General features: G+C 38.5%; 1 protein-coding gene and 1 pseudogene across 1 annotated transcript in view; both read left to right on the forward strand.

Annotated features, from left to right (window-relative positions):
* The window catches only part of DPYSL2 (dihydropyrimidinase like 2), a 144,145-nt gene that overhangs the window by 24,215 nt on the left and 99,948 nt on the right, over nucleotides 1–19,982 (forward strand). The gene's annotated exons all lie outside the window — the stretch shown is intronic.
* Nucleotides 9,434–10,204, forward strand: PSME2P5 (proteasome activator subunit 2 pseudogene 5; annotated as a pseudogene).

The raw sequence follows: 19,982 nt of genomic DNA on the forward strand, positions 1-19,982 counted from the left end.
TGCTTATCTCCCCAACAAAAACAATGAACAAACAGCTACTTGCCAATGAAAATAGTTATGGGAGAGCTCTGGAGTACAATAAAGGAACTATAGTAACCCAGTGGAGCATGAAAACTGAGGATGACCACATAGAAAAGTGTAGGAAGCATTTTAACCTATGCTACCCCTCCCTCAGTCTGGTATAGGTAGGTACCAAGAGCGATCCCTTGGCATGACCTCTCCCTGTGGGGGAAAAAGGGAGCGGGAGGACCTCAGTGGTCCTCATCACTGCCAAGGAACACTAACAGCTTTCTCCCCATGGTCTTCAGTGATGTTGAGCCCGTGTAATGAAGCTTCCTGGAGTCTACAAAGATGTTCCTGCCTTGAGGAAGGAGCTGCTATTATGTTTCCACAGGAGTAAGAACCACCACTGTGTCCTGCCCTCCTTCAGGGCCAAAGCCACTACCTCCTTCCCACAATCACGTGCATGCTCCAGAGCCTAGCTCTGTGGCTACTGTGCATGTTCCATGCCTCAGACACCAGCACAGTCACTGCAGTGAGTGTATTTACATGCCAGACCTGTTGCAAAGAGGGATTTTCTTGGGCATGACATTCCCCCAGTGAGATAAAAGAAGACCACTGGGCCCCAGTAGCCTTTAACACCAAGGACCCCAACAACCCTCATCACATCAACAGCCCTCTGCAACCTTGGCCACTAAGGACCACTATAGAATCCAACAATGTTTTTCAGCACTTGCTCCCCTCCATCCCTCCCCCTTCTAGTAGTTCCCAGTGTCTGTTGTTCCCATCTTTATGTCCACTTGTACTCAATGTTTAGCTCCCACTAATAAGTGAGAACACACAGAATTTTGTTTTCTGTTTCTGCATTAAATTGCTTAGCTACCTCTACTTTTAACATATTTTAGGCATTAGGACTTGCTTAGCCTTTAATACACAGGAATATTAACTAAAATGCACATATAAAACAATTGGTTAGACAATCTGAACTAATTTAGCTTATGGGTACAGAACCCTTCTCTCTGCATGGTTCCCTCTCCCCCTGCCCAGCACCACCCAGTGAATAGTCAGCATCAAAACATCCAGTTTCACAATTCCTTTCCCAAATTCAACCACTCCTGTGAGATAACAAAAAAATATTTAAACGGTGTTACTGTAGCCCTCTACTTTTAGCATACGTTGTGCACTTTTAAACATCTAGAAAGACTAGATTTTTCAAATAGTGCCTAAGTTTTCCACTACATACACAGTAACGTTGAATAAATGGTACACATGTAATAAAGGCTCTAATTTGAAAGTGTTATTTATTTATTTATAGACAGAGTCTCACTCTGTTGCCTAGGCTGGAGTACAGTGGTGTGATCTTAGCTCACTGCAACCTCTGCCTCCTGGGTTCAAGTGATTCTCCTGCCTCAGCCTCCCGAGTAGCTGGGACTACAGGGATGCACCACCACGTCCGGCTAATTTTTGTCTGACCTCAGCAGACAGAGCTCCATGGAAACTACACCACCATGCCCTTCCTGAAGGCAGAACTATTGCTACCTTCCCCGCCCTGCCAGAGTAGGATCGCTACACTCCACCCAGCCAACACCCTCACACCCACCTGCAGGTGTAGGTCTTTCCCCACTGAAGCCAGTCTTAAGTCTGGAAGAAGTGACTGTTTCCACAAGTGCATAGACACCAACACCAACATATGGCTATAAGAAACAAACAAACAAAAAATCAAGGAAACATAAAACCACCAAAAGGACACAATAATTTTTCAATAACTGACCCTAAAGCAATGAAAATCTACAAATTGCCTGACAGGGAAATCAAAATAATTGTTTTAAGGAAGCTTAGTGAGCTACAAGAGAACACAAGTAGACAACCCAATTAAATCAGGAAAACAATGCACAAACATAATGGGAAGTTCAACAAAGAGATAAAATAATCTTAAAACCTCAGAAATTCTGGGGCTGAAGAGTGCAATGAATGAAATGAGAAATTCAGTAAACAGCTTCAACAGTAGACTTGATCAAGCATAAGAAAAAAAAATCGGTAAACTTGAAGACAGGCCATTTAATACTATTTAGTCAGAGGATAAAAAAATGAAAAAAGTGAAAAAAGACTACAGGATTTATAGGACACCATTAAGTGAACCAATGCACATATTATAAGAGTTCTAGAAGGAGAAGAGAGAAAGGGGTAGAAAGCTCATTTAAATAAATAATGGCTGAAAACTTTCCACAGATTGTTGGAGGGAAATGGACATCCAGATTTCTGAATCTCAAAGATCCCCAAATAGGATCAACCACGGAAGACTACAAGTGCTCCTTAACAATGGATGTCCTGATAAACCCATTGTAAGTTGAACATATTGTAAGTTGAAAATATATTTAGGCCAGGCATGGTGGCTCACACCTGTAATCCTAGCACTTTGGGAGGCCAAGGCAGGCAGATCACCTGAAGTTGGGAGTTCGAGACCAGCCTGGCTAACATGGTGAAATCCTTTCTCTACTAAAAATACAAAATTACCTAGGCATGGTGGCACATGCCTGTAATCCCAGCTACTCAGGAGGCTGAGGCAGGAGAATTGCTTGAACCCGGGAGGCAGAGGTTGCAGTGGGCTGAGATCATGCCATTGCACTCCAGCTTTGGTGACAGAGTGAGACTCTGTCTCAAAAAAAAAAAAAAAAGGAAATATATTTAATACCCAATAAAGCCATCAGGAAGTCAAAAAATTGTAAGTTGAACCATCATAAGTCCAGATGCTCCTCAATTTGTGATGGAGTTAAGTCCAGATAAACCCATCATAAAGTCAAAAAATCTTAAGTCAAAACACCATGTTGGGAATCTTCTGCACACCAAGACACATTTTATTCAAGTTGTCGAAAGTTAAGGACAAATAAAGAATTTTCAAAGCAGCAAGAGAAAAGTGATTTGTCATTTTTAAGAGAATTTCTGTAAGAATATTAGTGGATTTCTTGGCAGAAACTTCGCAGACTAGGAGACAGTTGGATGATATGTTCTAAATATTGAACAAAACACAACTTTTAATCAGGAGTACTATGCCAGGCAAAATTATCCTTTAAAATTGATGGAGAGATAGTTTTTCTCAAACAAACAAAAATGAGGAGTTCATTACCACTAGACCTAACTTACTTATCATTTACTTGTCATGTCTTTTTGTTTCTTCTATCTGAAACAAACAATGCTTCAGAGACTTCTTCAAATTGAAATAAAATTATCCTAAACAGCAACACACACACATAAGCATATGAAAGCATAAATCACACAGGGAAAGGTAAATATATAGATGCAGACAGATTCATGTAACACTGTAAAGATGGTATGTAAATTACTTTTAACCCCAATGTAAAAGTTAATAGAGAAAATGTCGCTAATGGATATATGATATAAAAAGAAGCATTCTTTGTCTACAAGAATACAAAGTGCTTGTGTGGGGGAGTAAAATGGTAGTGTTTTTTTATACATTTGAACTTAAAATAGAAGGTTAAAAACTGTAAGATATTTTACACAAGCCTTTATCTAATAGCAAAGAAAAAAACCTGTAACAGATACACAAGAGATGAAAAATCAAAGCATATTACTACAAAAATCATCAAACAACAAAGACAGCGAGAAAACAAGAGTTAAAACAATGCAAGACAAATAGAAAATAATTAACAAAATGGCAATGGTAAATCCTCATTAATAATTACTTAAATGTAAATGGATTAATCTCACCAATCAAAAGGTGTAGAGGCTGGGTGTGGTGGCTAATGCCTGTAATCCCAACAATCTGGGAGGCCCAGGTGGGAAGATTGCTTGAGCCCAGGAGTTTGAGACCAGTCTGGGCTCAAACTATGTCTTTAACATAGGGAAACCCCATATCTACAAAAAAATTTTAAAAATTAGCCAGGTGTGGTTGTGCATGTCTGCAGTCCTAGCTACTAGGAAGGCTGAGGTGGGAGAATCGCTTGAGGCTGGGAGGTTGAGGCTGCAGTGAGCCAAGCTAGCAACTGAACTCTAGTCTGGGTGACAGTCTGAGTGACCTTGTTTCAAAAACAAAACAACAAAAAACCCACAAAAGGTATAGAGTGACTGAATGTATAAAAAACAAGATCAAGTCATATGCTGTCTATAATAGATACACTTTATTTATTGTTTCCAGGTTTTTAAAAATTCCCATATTAAAAAAATTTTTTTTTTTTGAGGTGGCAGTCTTGCTCTGTTGCCCAGGCTGGAGTGTAGTGGCATGATCATAGGTCACTGGAACCTCAACCTCGTGGGCTCAAGTTGTCTTCCTGCCTCTGCCTTCTGAGTAGTTCGGGCTACAGGCATGTACCACTGTGCCCAACTATTACAATTTTTAATTTTTTTGTAGAGATGGGGTCTCACTCTGTTTCTCAGGTATGTTTTAAACTCTGGCTTCAGGTGATCCTTCTGCCTCATCCTCATAAAGTGTTGGGATTACAGGAGTGAGCTACCACACCTGGCCTAACTTTTATTTTTAAAAAGTTAATACATGCATTATAGGAAAGTGAAAAACACAAGAAGCAAAGAACAAAGTTGTCCACAATCACAAGCAGCTTACAGTTTGCTGTGTCCTTCTAGGTCCTGTGTGTGTTTAGACACAACATCCAGTTTTATTGGATTGAGAGCATACAGTATGTATGTATCATGCTTTTTCACACATCATGAATATTTACCAATTTAAAATTCCAAAGTGATATGAATATTTTGATAACTAAAAATACATGACACCAGCTCAATCTGTTAGAAAAAAGTATAATCCCACCTCTTTTGGGACAAAAATTTCATAGAAGACAAAAATGGCAACGCTCCTCTAGATAAAGGTATTGGCAGAATTCCAATTAAAATACTGCATTTCCTTAATGTTCAATTTAAACTGAAACATAAAGCAACAGAGTACACCAAGTATAGTGTCTAAGATAATTCATTATCAGATCTATACCATTCAAATGTTAGCAAGGAGGTATATTTCCATTGAATTACTCAATTTACTCTTGCAGTTCAGCCAAAGAGATGCACATACGTCAGTTGGCTACAGTCAAAATGTAAATATGAACACATCTGCATACATCTCTCCCTTCACACTTCCTTCTGCTCCTCTGCTGCCTACCTAACAAGTCCTGATATACACTGCTCAGGGATAGGTTAACAATTCTGTATCCAAGCTTCATTTTTTGTATCAATTATAAGAAGATATTTATGAATTGGCTAATTCACTGGCTCTACCTTGGTTTTTTTTTTTTTGAGATGGAGTTTTGCTCTTGTTGCCCAGGCTGGAGTGCAATGGCAGGACCTTGGCTCACTACAACCTCTGCCTCCAGGGTTCAAGCGATTCTCCTGCTTCAGCCTCCCAAGTAGCTGGGATTACAGGCATGTGCCACCACGCCCAGCTAATTTTATATTTTTAGTAGAGACAGTGTTTCACCATGTTGGTCAGGCTTGTCTCGAACTACCGACTTCAGGTGATCTGCCCACCTCGGCCTCCCAAAGTGCTGGGATTACAGGCGTGAGCCACCGCGCCTGGCCACTAGCTCTACTTTTTATCATACATTGTTTGCTCAGGGTGTTCCTATTTAAAAGATACTTTCAGGCCGGGCTGGTCTTGAACTCCTGACCTCAGGTGATCCACCTGCCTTGGCCTTCCAAAGTGCTAGGATTACAGGCATGAGCCCTGTACCCAGCCTGAAAGTATCTTTTAAATAGGAACATTCTAGCCTAGAACCTTTTTCCTTCCTACTTCTGTCAACCCAATGGACAGATATAAGCATCTATAGTACTTAGCAGGGATTTTCACAAACAAAAGAACAGTCTTTTCTATGAATTTTAACACAAAACAGACTCAATGTATTAGTTTACTAACCCTACTTTTGTCATATGCTGGCGACCTCTTTAACATCTAGAAGGACTAGATGTTTTAAATCAGGACTTGCTTGTCCTTTATGTATGGTATAAACATAGCCAAGTAAAAGACAATGCATGGACATAAGGGACAGTAGCCAATTGTGCCTCACCATACACACACTGGTATCAAACCCTTTGGAATTCCTTCTCCTCCTTTCTCCCTGAACCAGCATGAATATAGTAATGTGTACTGCTCAGAGAAGTGGTGTGATCATTCAATTTCCAAAAGACAATATTTCATATGAATTTTACAAAAGGATATTTACAAAGTGTGTTCTTTATTACCACTACGTTTAATATACTTTGTGCACTTCTAAACACCTGGACAGACTAGATGTTTCATATAAGGACTTAAGTTCGTCTACTATATACACAGTAGTATTGAATAAGCTACACATGTAACAACGGTTATATCTGAAAGTATCATCTATATTGTTCTGGTCTAGAATCCTCCATTTCTTCCAGTTCCTCTCCACCGCCAATCTGATGGATATAAGTACATGTGTCACTTGGACGTGATGTTATCATTTTACTTCTAAAAGTCCTTTTGAGAAGACAGCTTTTCTGTGAATTTTAATACAAAGTGTACAAAATGAATAGATACACTTTAGAATTAAAGACACATGTAGGTTGACAGTAAAGGGATAGAAAAGGATATTTTATGCAAATAGTAACCAAAAGAAACCAGAGGGGGCTATACTTATATCAGACAAAATAGACTTTAGGTCTAAAACTGTCTGTAGACACAAGGAAGATCATTTTATAGTGATAAAAAGGTCAGTTCTACAGGAAAATATAACAATATAACAATCATATACACACTCAACATCAGAGCACCTGAATATATAAAGCAAATATTGACAGATCTGAGGACAGGAATTGACAGCAATACATTAATAGTAGGGGACTTTGATACCTCACTTAACAATAAGTGATAGAACATCCAGACAGAAAATCAATAAAGAAACACTGACTTGAACAACACTATGGAAAAGATGGACCTAACCACCATATGCAGAACTTCTTATCCAACAGCAGAAGTATGCACATTTTTCTCAGGCACACACAAAACATTCTCTGGGATAGATCACATATTAGGCCACAAAATGAGTCTTAACAAATTTAAGACGTTCAAAATAATTCTAAGTACCTTTTTCAACCACAATGAAATGTAACTACTAACCTATAACAGCAAGAAAACAGGAAAATTCACAAATATGTGGAAACAAAACACACTCCAGAACAACCATTGGCTCAAAGAAGGTATCAAAAGGGAATTTAAAAAGTGTCTTAGCGAGGCGCAGTGGCTCACGCCTGTAATCTCGGCACTTTGGGAAGCAGGTGGGCAGATCACTTGAGGTCAGGACCTCCAAACTAGCCTGGCTAACGTGGTCTGGAGTTCAAGATCATCCTGGCCAACATGGTGAAACCCCATCTCTACTAAAAATACAAAAAATTAGCTGGGCATGGTGGCATGCACCTGTGATCCCAGCTACTTGGGAGGCTGAGGCAGGAGAATCACTTGAACCCGGGAGGCAGAGGTTGCAGTGAGCTGAGATTATGCCACTGCACTCCAGCCTGAGCAACAGAGTGAGACTCCATCTCAAAAAAAAAAAATAATCTCAGCATTGAATTTCCCTGCTCCTTTATCAAAGATAATTCGACTATATTTATGTGTGTTTCTTTCTGGGCTCTCTGTTTTCTTCCCTTGATCTGTTTGTCTTGACAACCATAGCTTTATAGTAAATCTTGAAGTCAGGAAGTATCTGACTTGTTCTACTCCTTCAATTTCACGTTGCCTATTCTGGGTCTTTTGGCTTTTCATATAAACTTTAGATTTCATTTGTTGATATCCACAAACAATTTGCTGGCATTTTGATTGGGATTTTGATTGTGTCGAATGTATAGATCCAGTTGGGAAGAACTGACATCTTGACAATATTGTCTTCCAATCCATGAACTTGGGAATATTTCTTCATTTATTTAGCTCTTCTTTGATTTTGTTCATCAAAAAAATTGTAGGTTTCCTTACATAGATCTTGGATGTGTTTGTTAGACTTATACCTAAAGATTTCATTTCGTGGGTGCTCATGTAAATTGTATTGTGTTTTTAATTATAAATCCCACTTATTCATTGTTGCTATACAGGAAAGCAATGGACTTTTGTATATTAACCTTGTATCTTGCAACTTTGCTACAATTGCTTATCAGTTCCAGTTTTTTTGTTGATTGTTTTAGACCTTCTACATAGATGATTACACCATCTGCTCAACAAATATCAAAAATATTAGCATTTTGGTGTATATCTTTCTAGAGTCTTTTAAAAATAAATTAGACACCTTTATATTTATTGTGTGTATATACACATAATTGTATGTAACATAAATGTTACATAATTGGGATTCAGTGAGAAAGCTTCTAGTTTCTTATCTGAGATGCTAGACTTTTATTCTCACAACAAGAAAAATCCTGCAGAGGCCGGGCGTGGTGGCTCACGCCTGTAATCCCAGCACTTTGGGAGGCCGAGACGGGTGGATCACGAGGTCAGTAAATCGAGACCATCCTGGCTCACACGGTGAAACCTCGTCTCTACTAAAAATTCAAAAAAAATTAGCCGGGCGTGGTGGCGGGCACCTGTAGTCCCAGCTACTCAGGAGGCTGAGGCAGGCGAATGGCGTGAACCCGAGAGGCGGAGCTTGCAGTGAGCCGAGATCGCGCCACTGCACTCCCAGCCTGGGCGACTGAGGGAGACTCAGTCTCAAAAAAAAAAAAAAAAAAAAAAAAAAAAAAGAAAAGAAAAATCCTGCAGAAACTGAAAATCAACAACTCTTTATCAGTCAGATGATTGAGGTCACAAGGCAAGACACTTCACCTGCAATTGGTGAGACAAGCCCATACACAGAATCAAAGCTTACTAGAGGCCAGGAGCGGTGGCTCATGCCTGTAATGCCAGCACTTTGGGAGGTCGAAGTGGGTGGATTGCTTGAGCCAAGGAGTTGGAGGCCAGCCTGGGCAATGTGGCGAAATCCTGTCTCTACTAAAAATGCAAAAATTAGCCGGGTGTGGTGGCACACACCTGTAATCCCAGCTACTCGGGTGGCTGAGGCAAGAAAACTGCTTGAACCCAGGAGGTGGAGGTTGCAGTGAGCCAAGATTGTGCCACTGCACTCCAGCCTGGTTGACAGAGAGAGACCCTGATTGAAAAAAAAAAAATTGCTTACTGGAGCAGAAGCCCACTGCAGCAGCAAGATGCAGATTCCTTTTACTCAGTACATTGTATCCACCCTTCAACAAAAAATTACACGGCAAATTGAAAGACAAAAAACAATTTGAGGAGACAGAACAAGCATCATAACCAGACCCAGATATTGTAGAGATTTTGGATTGCTGACAGGAATTTAAAATAACTATTTAACGTGTTAAGGCCTCTAATGGACAAAAGTGAAAAACATGCAAGAACAGATGCATAATATAAGCAGAGAGATGGGGACTTTAATAAAGAATCAGGACTAGCCAGGAGACCAGAGATGTAGCACCTGGAGCAGCATGGCCCAGCCTTGTGGAGTGCATCTGAGCGGGAAGGCCTGCAAGCAGGCGGAGGTCTTCAGGCAAAATCTTTTCCAGGAGGCTGAGGAATTCCCCTACAGATTCTTGCCACAGAAAGTCATATATCTGAATCAGCTCTTGCAAAAGGAGTCCTTCAATGTGGCTGATCTGACCTCCCTCTGAGTGCCACTGAAATCCCCATCCCAGACCCTCTATCCAAGGATGATGAGTTGGAAACAGATAAGCAGGAGGAGAAAGAAGTCTCCCTGGCATGAGAAGGTCCTTTTCCTGTTCCCCTGGATAAGACAGAAGTCTGGACTCTCAAAGAGAAATGCATTCTGGTGATCACATGGATCCAGCATCTGATCCCCAAGATTGAGGATGGACATTATTTTGGGATATCACTCCGGGAGAAGGTGCTGGAGAGGATAAAGGCAGTCAAGACCAAAGTGGTTCCAGACAACCACGTCCAAGTACTTCTCAGAACATGGAGATGCTGTGGCCAAGGCCTCCAAGGAAATTCATGTAATGGATTATTACCAGGCCTTGGTGCACAGGCAAGATGAGGCACCTATGGGGAGATCGGGGACACCGTGCTTGAACTGAGGGCTTTCTATGCTGAGCTTTATCATAATTTCAGAAGCAACCTGGAGAAAATTGTTAACCCAAAGGGTGAAGAGAAGCCGTCTATATACTGAGCCCAGGGCTAGAAGAGAAATAAATGACTTATACTTTGTGTGGATTAAAAGACAATAATCAAGGCCTTTTCCTCTCAGAAGTCCCCTCTCTCACAGTAGACAGAGAGCTGTTTTCCTATTTTTTTACCTATTAAACCTCCACTCCTAAACTCCTAACAGTAATAATAATAGTAATAATAATAATAATAATATTCAGGCCATGTGTGGTGGCTTATGTCTGTAATCCCAGCACTTTGGGAGTCTGAGGCAGGAACATTGTTTGAACTCAGGAATCCAAGACCAGCCTAAGCACTATAGTGAGACCTCCTCTCTTAAAAAAAAAAAGTCACCAGACATGGTAGTGCATGCCTGTGGTCCCAGCTACTTGGGAGGCTGAGGCAGGAGAATCACTTGAGCCTGGTGGTCAAGGCTGCAGTGAGCTGTGATTGCGCCACTGCATTCCAGCCTGGGTGACAGAGTGAGACCTCATCTCAAAAACAAAACCAAACCAAATAAAAAATAGGCCGGGCGCAGTGGCTCACGCCTATAATCCCAGCACTTTGGGAAGCTGAGGCGGGCAGATCATTTGAGATCAGGAGTTTGAGACCAGCCTGACCAACATGGGGAAGCCCCGTCCCTACTAAAAATACAAAAATTAGCTAGGGATGGTGGCAGGTGCCTGTAATCCCAGTTACTCGGGAGGCTGAGGCAAGAGAATCACTTGAACCCAGGAGGCGGAGGCTGCAGTGAGCTGAGATCATGCCACTGCACTCCAGCCCAGGTGACAGAGGGAAGACTGTCTCAAAAAAATTAAGTTAATAATAATAATAATAATAATAATAATCAAAAGGATATGCTAGAAATAAAGAAAACACTATACTAGAAATGAAGAATGCCTTTTATTTGATTGATCAAGAGGCAGGACCCAGCCAAAGAAAGAATCAGCGAGCTTGAAGAAATGTCAGTAGAAACTTCCAAAATGGAAATGAAGAGAGAGAAAACAATGAAAATGACGGAACAGAATATCCAAGAAATACGAGAAAATTACCAAAGATTTAATATATGTATAAAGGTGATATCAGAGGGAGCAGAAAGACAGAAAGGGACAGGGGACATACTGGAAGCCATAATGACTGCGAATTTCTCAAAATTAATGATAGCATACCACAGGTACAGGAAGCTCAGAGAACACCAAGCAGGATCAGTACTACAAAAATCTATCCCTGGGCATATCACATTCAAGCTGCAGAAAATCAAAGACAGAAAGAAAACCTTGAAAGAAGTCAGAAGTAAAAAGCACTTTATATATAGAGGAGCAAGGATAGTGTTATACCGGATTTCTCTTGAGACCCATACAAGCAAGAAGAGAGTGAAGTGAAAGATTTCGTGCTGAAAGAACAAAAACACCAATGTAGAATTTTGTATCCAGCAAGATTGTCCTTTAAAACTGAATGATAAATAAAGACTTTCTCAGACAAATAAATGTTGAGAGAATTTGTCACTGGTGACATTGCAAGAAATGTTAAAAAAAAAATCTTCAGAGAGAAGGAAAATGACATAAAAAGAGAGTTGGATCTACTTAAAGAAAGGAAGAGTGTTAGAGAGAAATAAATCAAGGTAAAATAAAGTAAATAAAGTATTTTTAAGATTCTTAATTGACCCAACAGATACCTGTTTGTCCAAAATAACAATAGAAACAACAATAATGTATTAGGTAGTTATAGCTTATGGGTAAATTAAATAAGGAAAAGTAACATTACAAGGGATGGGAGCATTGGGAATACTCTGCTGTAAGGTATGTGCATCACCTGCGATGAAGTGGTATAGTGTAATTTGAACATGGACTTGTTGTAAGTGTATACTGCAAACTCAAGGGCAATGACCAGAAAAAGCTAAAAAGGGACATAATTGATTTTTTGAGAGGTGAGAAAATGGAGTTACATAAAGTAATCAATTAAAATGACAGAAGGCAGAAAAAGAATGAAAGACAAGAAAGAAACGAAGAACAAGGACAAAAATATAAAATAGTAACAAGCATAGAAGATATTAATCCAACTATCAATAATCACTTAAATCTTAATGGTAAATACACCAGTTTAGAGATAGAGATTGTCAGAGTGAATTAAAGCAAAATAGATGTAACTATATGCTGTGTACAAGAAACCCACCCTAAATATAAAAATACAGATAGATTAAAAGGATGGAGAAAGATATGTTATGTCTTTTAGTCAGGGTTCTCCAGAAATGCAGACTGATGGGAGATAGATAGACTGATAGATGACAAGTGGCTTATTAGAGGAATTAGCTCACTCTGTTATGAAGGCTGAGAATTCCCATGATAGACTGTCTGCAAGCTGGAGAACCAGGGAAGCTGGTAGCTGGCTCAGTGCAAGTCTGAAGGCCTCAGATGCAAGGATGCCTATGGTATAACTCTCAGGCTGAACCAAAGGCCTGAGAGCTGGTGGGGAGAGGGGGTCTGGTGTAAGTCCCAGAGCGCAAGAGCTGGAGAACTCAGAGTTCTGACACCCAAGGGCAGGAGAAAATGGATATCTTGCCTCTGGAAGTGAGAGAGTTTACCCTTCCTCTGCCTTCCATCCAGGCCCCCAGTCAGTTGGATGGTGCCCACTCACATTACATCTGGATCTTCCCCACTTTGTCCACTGACTCACACACTAATCTCCCCCAGATACACCTTCATAGACATACCTGGGACAACCCAATTATTCTAATCAAAAGCCAAACCCTTTGAGCAGAAGAGGGATGGTCTCAGTGCCTACTGACGCGCTGAGAATAATTGATCCTTTACCAGCTATCTGAGTATCTTTTAATCCAGTCAAGTTGACAGCCCCAATCTACTATCACACCATGCTAACAGAAATCAAAGGAAAGTTAGAATAGGTATATTAATTTATGACAAAGTAGACTTCAGAGCTAGGAAAATTATCAGGGATAAAGAGGGGCACAACGTAATGATAAAGAAGTCAATTCTCCAAGAAGATATAACAATCTTTACTGTATATGTGCCTAACAACAGAGCATCAAAATACATGAGGCAAAAACTGATAGAATTTCAAGGAGATATAAACAAATCTGCCAGTATAGTTATAGACTTCAACACCCCTCTGTCAGTAACTGACAGATCCAGCAGACAGAAAATCAGTAAGGACATAACAGAACTAACACCATCAACTAAATGGATCTAATTGAAATTTATATTATACATCACCCAGCAACAGTAGAATTCACATTCTTCTCAAGCTTACATGGGACATGGAACATTCACCATTCCAGGCCATAAAACACACCCTTAACACATTTAAAAGAATAAAAATCATACAAAGTAAGCTCTCAGACCACAATGAACTTAAACTAGAAATCAGTAACAGGAAGATAGCTGGAAAATCCCCAAATATTTTAAGAATATACTTTTATTGTATTTTATTTTTAGAAATGAGGTCTTGCTCTATCTCTCAGGCTGGAGTGTAGTGGCATAATCATAGCTTATGGCATCCTTGAACTCCTGGGCTCAAGCAATTTTCCTGCCTCAGTCTCCTGAGTAGCTGGGACCACAGAGGCATGCTACCATGCCTGGCTAATTTTTAAATTTTTTATAGAGACGCGGTCTGACTATGTTGCCAATGCTGGTCTTAAACACTTAGGCTCAAGCAATCCTCCTGTCTCAGCCTCCCAAAACATTGGGATTACAGGTGTGAGCCACAGCACACAGCCTAAACAATATATGTTTGAATAGCACATGGGCCAAGGAAGACATCTCAAAAGAAATTTTAAAAATATTTTTTAACTATGAGAAGATGAAAATACAACTTATCAAAATTTGTGGACCGCAGCAAAAACAGTGCTTAATGAGAGATTTATACCATTAAACGCATATATTAGAAAAGAAGAAATATCTAATATCAATAATCTAAACTTCCACTTTAGGAGACTAGACAAAGAAGAGCAAATTAAATTCAAAGTAAACAGAAGAAAAGAAATAATAATAATTAGAGCAGAAATCAATGGCATTGAAAACAGGAAATCAAAAGAGAAAATAAAACCAAAAGCTGATTCTTTGAAAAGATCAGTACAATTGATGTCTCAGTCCATTTACTGTTGCTATAAATGAGTACCTGAGACTGGGTAATTTATAAAGAAAGGAAAGTTATTTCCTACAGGTCTGGAGGCTGGGAAGTCCAAAGTCCATGTGCTATTTCTGGTGCGGGCCTTCTGGCCGGTGGGTCTTCTCTGCAGAGTTCTGAGGAGGTGCAGGGCATCACATGTGAGAGTGCTTACAAGAGACTGCCAAACTGGCTTTCATAACAGACCCGCTCTTGTGATAAGTAGCCCACTCCCTCAATAACCCATTAATTGGTTAATCTGTGAATGAATTAATCCATTCATGAGTGCAGAGCCCTCATGACCCAGTCACCTTCCAAAGATTCTACCTCTCAACACTGCTGCACTGCGGATGAAGTTTCATGTGAGAAGGGACAAACATTCAAACCATAGCATTTGATATAACTCTAGCTAGGCTAAGAAAAGAAGAGAGAAGACACAAGTTACTAATATCAGAAATGAAAGACAGGCCATCACTGCTGATCCCATGGACATGAAAAGGGTAATAAAGGAAGATTATGAACAACTCTATGTCCACAAATTTGATAATGTAAATGATATTGGCCAATTCTTTGAAATTCACAATCTACCTAAACTCACACAAGAAGAAATAGATAATCGGAATAGACCTATTGCTATTAAAGAAATACAATAGAAAATAACCTTCCAAAACCGAAAGCACCAGGCCCAGATTCATTCACTGGTGAATTCAACCAAATAATTTTTTAAACTTTTATTTTAGGTTCAGGGGTACATGTCCAGGTTTGTTATATAGGTAAACTTATGTCGTGGGGGGTTTGTTGTACAGATTATTTCATCACCCAGGTACTAAGCCTAGTACCCAATACTTATTTTTTTCTGATCCTCTCCCTCCTCCCACCCTCCATCCTTAAGTAGGCCACAGTGTCTGTGGTTCCCCTCTTTGTGTCCATGTGTTTTCATCACTTAGCTCCCACTTATAAGTGGGAATATGCAATATTTGGTTTTCTGTTCCTCTGTTAGTTTGCTGAGGATGATGTCTTCCAGCTTCATCTATGTTCTTGCAAAGGACATGATCTCGTTCTTTTTTATGACTGCATGGTATTCCATGGTATATATACACCACATTGTCTTTATCCAATGTACAGTGGTCATTTAGGTTGATTCCAGGTCTTTGCTATTTTGAATAGTGCTGCAACGAATATACACATGCATGTGTCTTTATGGTAGAACAATTTATATTCCTTTGGGTATATACCCAGTAGTGGGATTGCTGGGTCGAATGGTAGTTCTATTTTTAGTTCTTTGAGGAATGACCACACTACTTTCCACAGTAATTAAACTAATTTATACTCCCACCAACAGTGCACAAGTGTTCCATTTTCTCTGCAACCTCATCAGTACCTGTTATTTTTGGGCTTTTTTTTTTTTTTTTTTGAGACGGAGTCTCACTCTGCCACCCATGCTGGAGTGCAGTGGCACGATCTCTGCAACCTCTGCTTTCCGGGTTCAAGCAATTCTCTGCCTCAGCCTCTGAGTAGCTGGGGTTACACATGCCCCCCACCACACCCAGCTAATTTTTGTATTTTTAGTAGGGATGGGGTTTCACCATCTTGGCCAGGCTGGTCTTGAACTCCTGACCTCGTGATCCACCCGCCTTGGCCTCCCAAAGTGCTAGGATTACAGGCATGAGCTACCGTGCCTGGCCATTTTTTGGCTTTTTAATAATAGCCATTCTGACTGATGTGAGATGGTATCTCATTGTGGTTTTAATTTGCATTTCTCTAGTGATCAGAGATACTGAGCTTTTTTTCACATGCTTTTTGGCTGCCTGTATGTCTTCTTTTGAAAAGTGTCTGTTCATGTCCTTTGCCCAGTTTTTAATGGTTTTTTTTTTTGTAAATTTGTTTAAGTTCTTTATAGATGCTGTGTATTAGACTTTTGCCAGATGCGTAGTTTGCAAATATTTTTTCCCATTCTGTAAGTTGTCTGTTTACTCTGTTGATAGTTTCTTTTGCTCTGCAGAAACTCTTAAGTTTAATTCCATCCCATATGTCAATTTTTGCTTTTGTTGTGTTTGCTTTTGGCATCTTCGTCATGAAATCTTTGCCCGTTCCTATGTCCAGAATGGTGTTGTATAGGTTGTATTCCAGGGTTTTATAGTTTTGGGTTTTACATTTAAGCCTTTTATCCATCTTGATCTACCAAATAATTAAGGAGTAAATCATACCAATTCTCTATAATCTTTTCCAGAAAACAGAAGCAGTGGGGATACCTCCTAATTCATTCTATGAGGCCAAAATTACCCTAATACCAAAACCAGACAAAGGCATTATAAGAAAAGAAATCCATAGACCAGTATCTCTAATGAATATAAATGTCAAAATCCTCAAAAATATTAACAAATAAAATGCAACAATGTATACAAAGAGTTTCTACATTAGAACCAGTGGGATTTACTCCAGGTTTACAAGAGTGGTTCAACATTCAAAATCAATTAGTACAATCACATCAGCACGCTAAAGAAGAAAAAAAGATCACATGATTATACCAATAGATGCAGTAAAACTATCGACAAAATTCAACATCTATTAGTGATAGATAGAAAGCTAAGTATATAGGGAAACTTTCTCAACTTGATAAAGAAGATCTGCAAAAATGGCTAACATCATATTTATGGTGAGAAACCATAAACTTTCCTGCTAACAATAGGAAAAGGCCAATGATTTCCCTTCTCAGCACTTGTATTTAACATTGCACTGAAATCCTAGGTAATACAAGAAGCAAGAAAAGAAAAAAAAGGTATATAGATTAGGAAGGAAGAAATAAAACTTTGTTTGCATATGACATCACTGCCTATGAAATAAATCCCAAAGAATCAACTACAATAAAAACTCCTGGAACTAGTAAATGATTATATCAAGATTGTAGGATATGAGGTTATTGTACAAAAGCCAATTGGTTTTCTATATACCAGCAATGAACAATTAGAATTTACATTAAAAACATACTATTGTTTATGTTAACACCAAAAAAATTAGATATAAATCTAACAGAATATGTATAAGATCTGTATGAGGAAATCTACAATTCCCTATGCACAAAATCAAAGAAGATCTAAATATATGGAAAGGCTTGGTGCAGTGGCTCATGCCTGTAATCCTAGAGGCCGAGGCAGGTGGATAGCTTGAGTCAAGGAGTTTGAGACCAGCCTGGGCAACATGGGGAAACCTCATCTCTACAAAAAAATACAAAAAATTAGCTTGGTTGGGGGGCGTGCACCTGTAGTCCCAGCTACAAGGGAGGATGAGTTGGAAAGATTGCTTGAGCCTGGGAGACAGAGGTTGCAGTGAGCCATGATTGTCAGCCTGGGTGACAGTGAAAAAAAAATTATATATATACTTGTATATGTAGTACTTGTATAGGTAGTTATATATATTAGCATATATACACATATACTATATATACATATACATGTATTATATATTATATATAGTATATATAGTATATATAAATATATAGTATATATTATATATATAAATATATATATAAGTATATATATAGTTTATAGTATATATAAATTATGTATATACTATATATAGTATATACTATATAAATTATATATAGTATATATATACTATATATATTATATATACTATATATAGTATATACTATATATAGTATATACTATATATAGTATATACTATATATATTATATATACTATATATATACTATATATAGTATATATAGTATTTATATAATATATATAGTATATATATACTATAGTATATATAGTATTTATATAATATATATAGTATATATATAGTATATATATACTATATATATAGTATATATATAGTATATATATATAGTATATATATATAGTATATATATATAGTATATACACACATACATGCACACACATTTTTATATGTAATTGTCTATGTAATAAATCCCGAAGAATCAACAACATTAAAATCTCCTGGAACTATTAAATGATTATATCAAGATTGTAGGATATAAGGTTATTATACAAAAGTCAGCTGCTTTTGTATATACCAGCAATGAACAATTAGAATTTATATTAAAAACATACTATTGTGTACAAAAAATACTTAGTTATAAATCTAACAATATGTATATATGTACAGAAAGATTTTTTGTGTTCATAGATAGATGGATTGTCATGATCTTCCCGGTTTGATCCACACATTAGATACAATCAAAATGCCAGCAAGTTGTTAGTAGACATCAACAAACTGAATCTAAAGTTTATATGGAGAAGCAAAGGAGTTCAGAATGGGCAACATGAAATTGAAGGAGAAAAACAAATTAGATACCATCTGACTTCAAAACTTACTATAAGGCTACAGTTGCCAAGACAGTGTGGTAGATAAACAGATCAAGGGAAGAGAGCAGAGAGCCCAGAAGGGGACCCACACAGATATAGTTGACATATCCTTGATAAAGGAACAAGGACAATTCAGTGTTGAAAATACAGCCTTTTCAACAAATGATGCTGGAACAACTGGCCAACCCCATGCAAAAACATAAATCTAGACACAGACCTCACATCTTTCAGGAAAATTAACTCAGAATACATCATAGACCTAAATGGAAAATGGAAATCTATAAAACTCCTAGAATATAACATAGAAGATGACTTTTTAGATACAACACCAAAAGCATGGTCCATGAAAAAAATAATTGATAAGCTGGACTTCAAAAGTAAAAAACTTCTGCTCTGTGAAAGACACAGTCAAGAGAATGAAAAGATAAGCCAGAGACTGGGAGGAAAAAAATTGCAAAAGACACACATATGGTAAAGAACTGTTATCCAAAATGTACAAAGAACTCTTAAAACCCAACAACAAGAAAACAAACACCCAATAGAAAAGTGGGCCAAAGATCTTAAGAGACACCTCACCAAAGAAGATGTACTCACGGCAAATAAGCATGTGAAAAGGTTCTCTGTGTCATATGTCATCAGGGAATTGCAAAGTAAAACAACAATTAGAACAGGCATGGTGGCTTATGCCTGTAATCCCAGAACTTTGGGAGCCGAGCTAGGTGGATCATTTGAGGCCAGGAGTTTGAGACCAGCCTGGCCAACATGGCAAAACCCTGTCTCTACTAAAAATACAAAAAAAAAAAAAAAAAAAGCCAGGCATTGTGGTACATGCCTATAATCCCAGCTACTCAGGAGCCTGAGGCATGTGAATCATTTGAACCTGGAAAGTGGAGGTTGTAGTGAGCCAAGATCACACCACTGCACTCCAGCCTGGGTGACAAAGAAGACTTTTTCTAAAACAAACAAACAAACAAACAAACCCAGCAACAATGAGATACCACTACACACCTGTTAGGATGGCCAACATTCATCCTGGATTTTCATGTGTAGTGGCATCTCATTTCATCCTCACCAGCAATGGAGAGTTCCTGTCGCTCTACATCCTAACACCAAATGCTTGTGAGGATGTGGAGCAACAGGAACTCTCATTCATTGCTGGTGAGGATGCAAAATGGTACAGCCACTTTGGAAGACAGTTTGGCAGTACATTACAAAACTAAATATTATCTTACCATATGATCCTGCAATCATACTCCTTGGTATTTATTCAAAGGAGATGAAAACTTATTTCTAACAAAAATCTCTACAGAAATGTTTATAGCAGCTTTATTCATGATTGCAAGAACTAGAAATCTACCAAGATGTCCATGAGTAGGTGAATGGATAAACAACCTGT

The sequence above is a fragment of the Homo sapiens genome, chromosome 8 (genome assembly GCF_000001405.40).
Source record: "Homo sapiens chromosome 8, GRCh38.p14 Primary Assembly".
Lineage (NCBI taxonomy): Eukaryota > Metazoa > Chordata > Mammalia > Primates > Hominidae > Homo > Homo sapiens.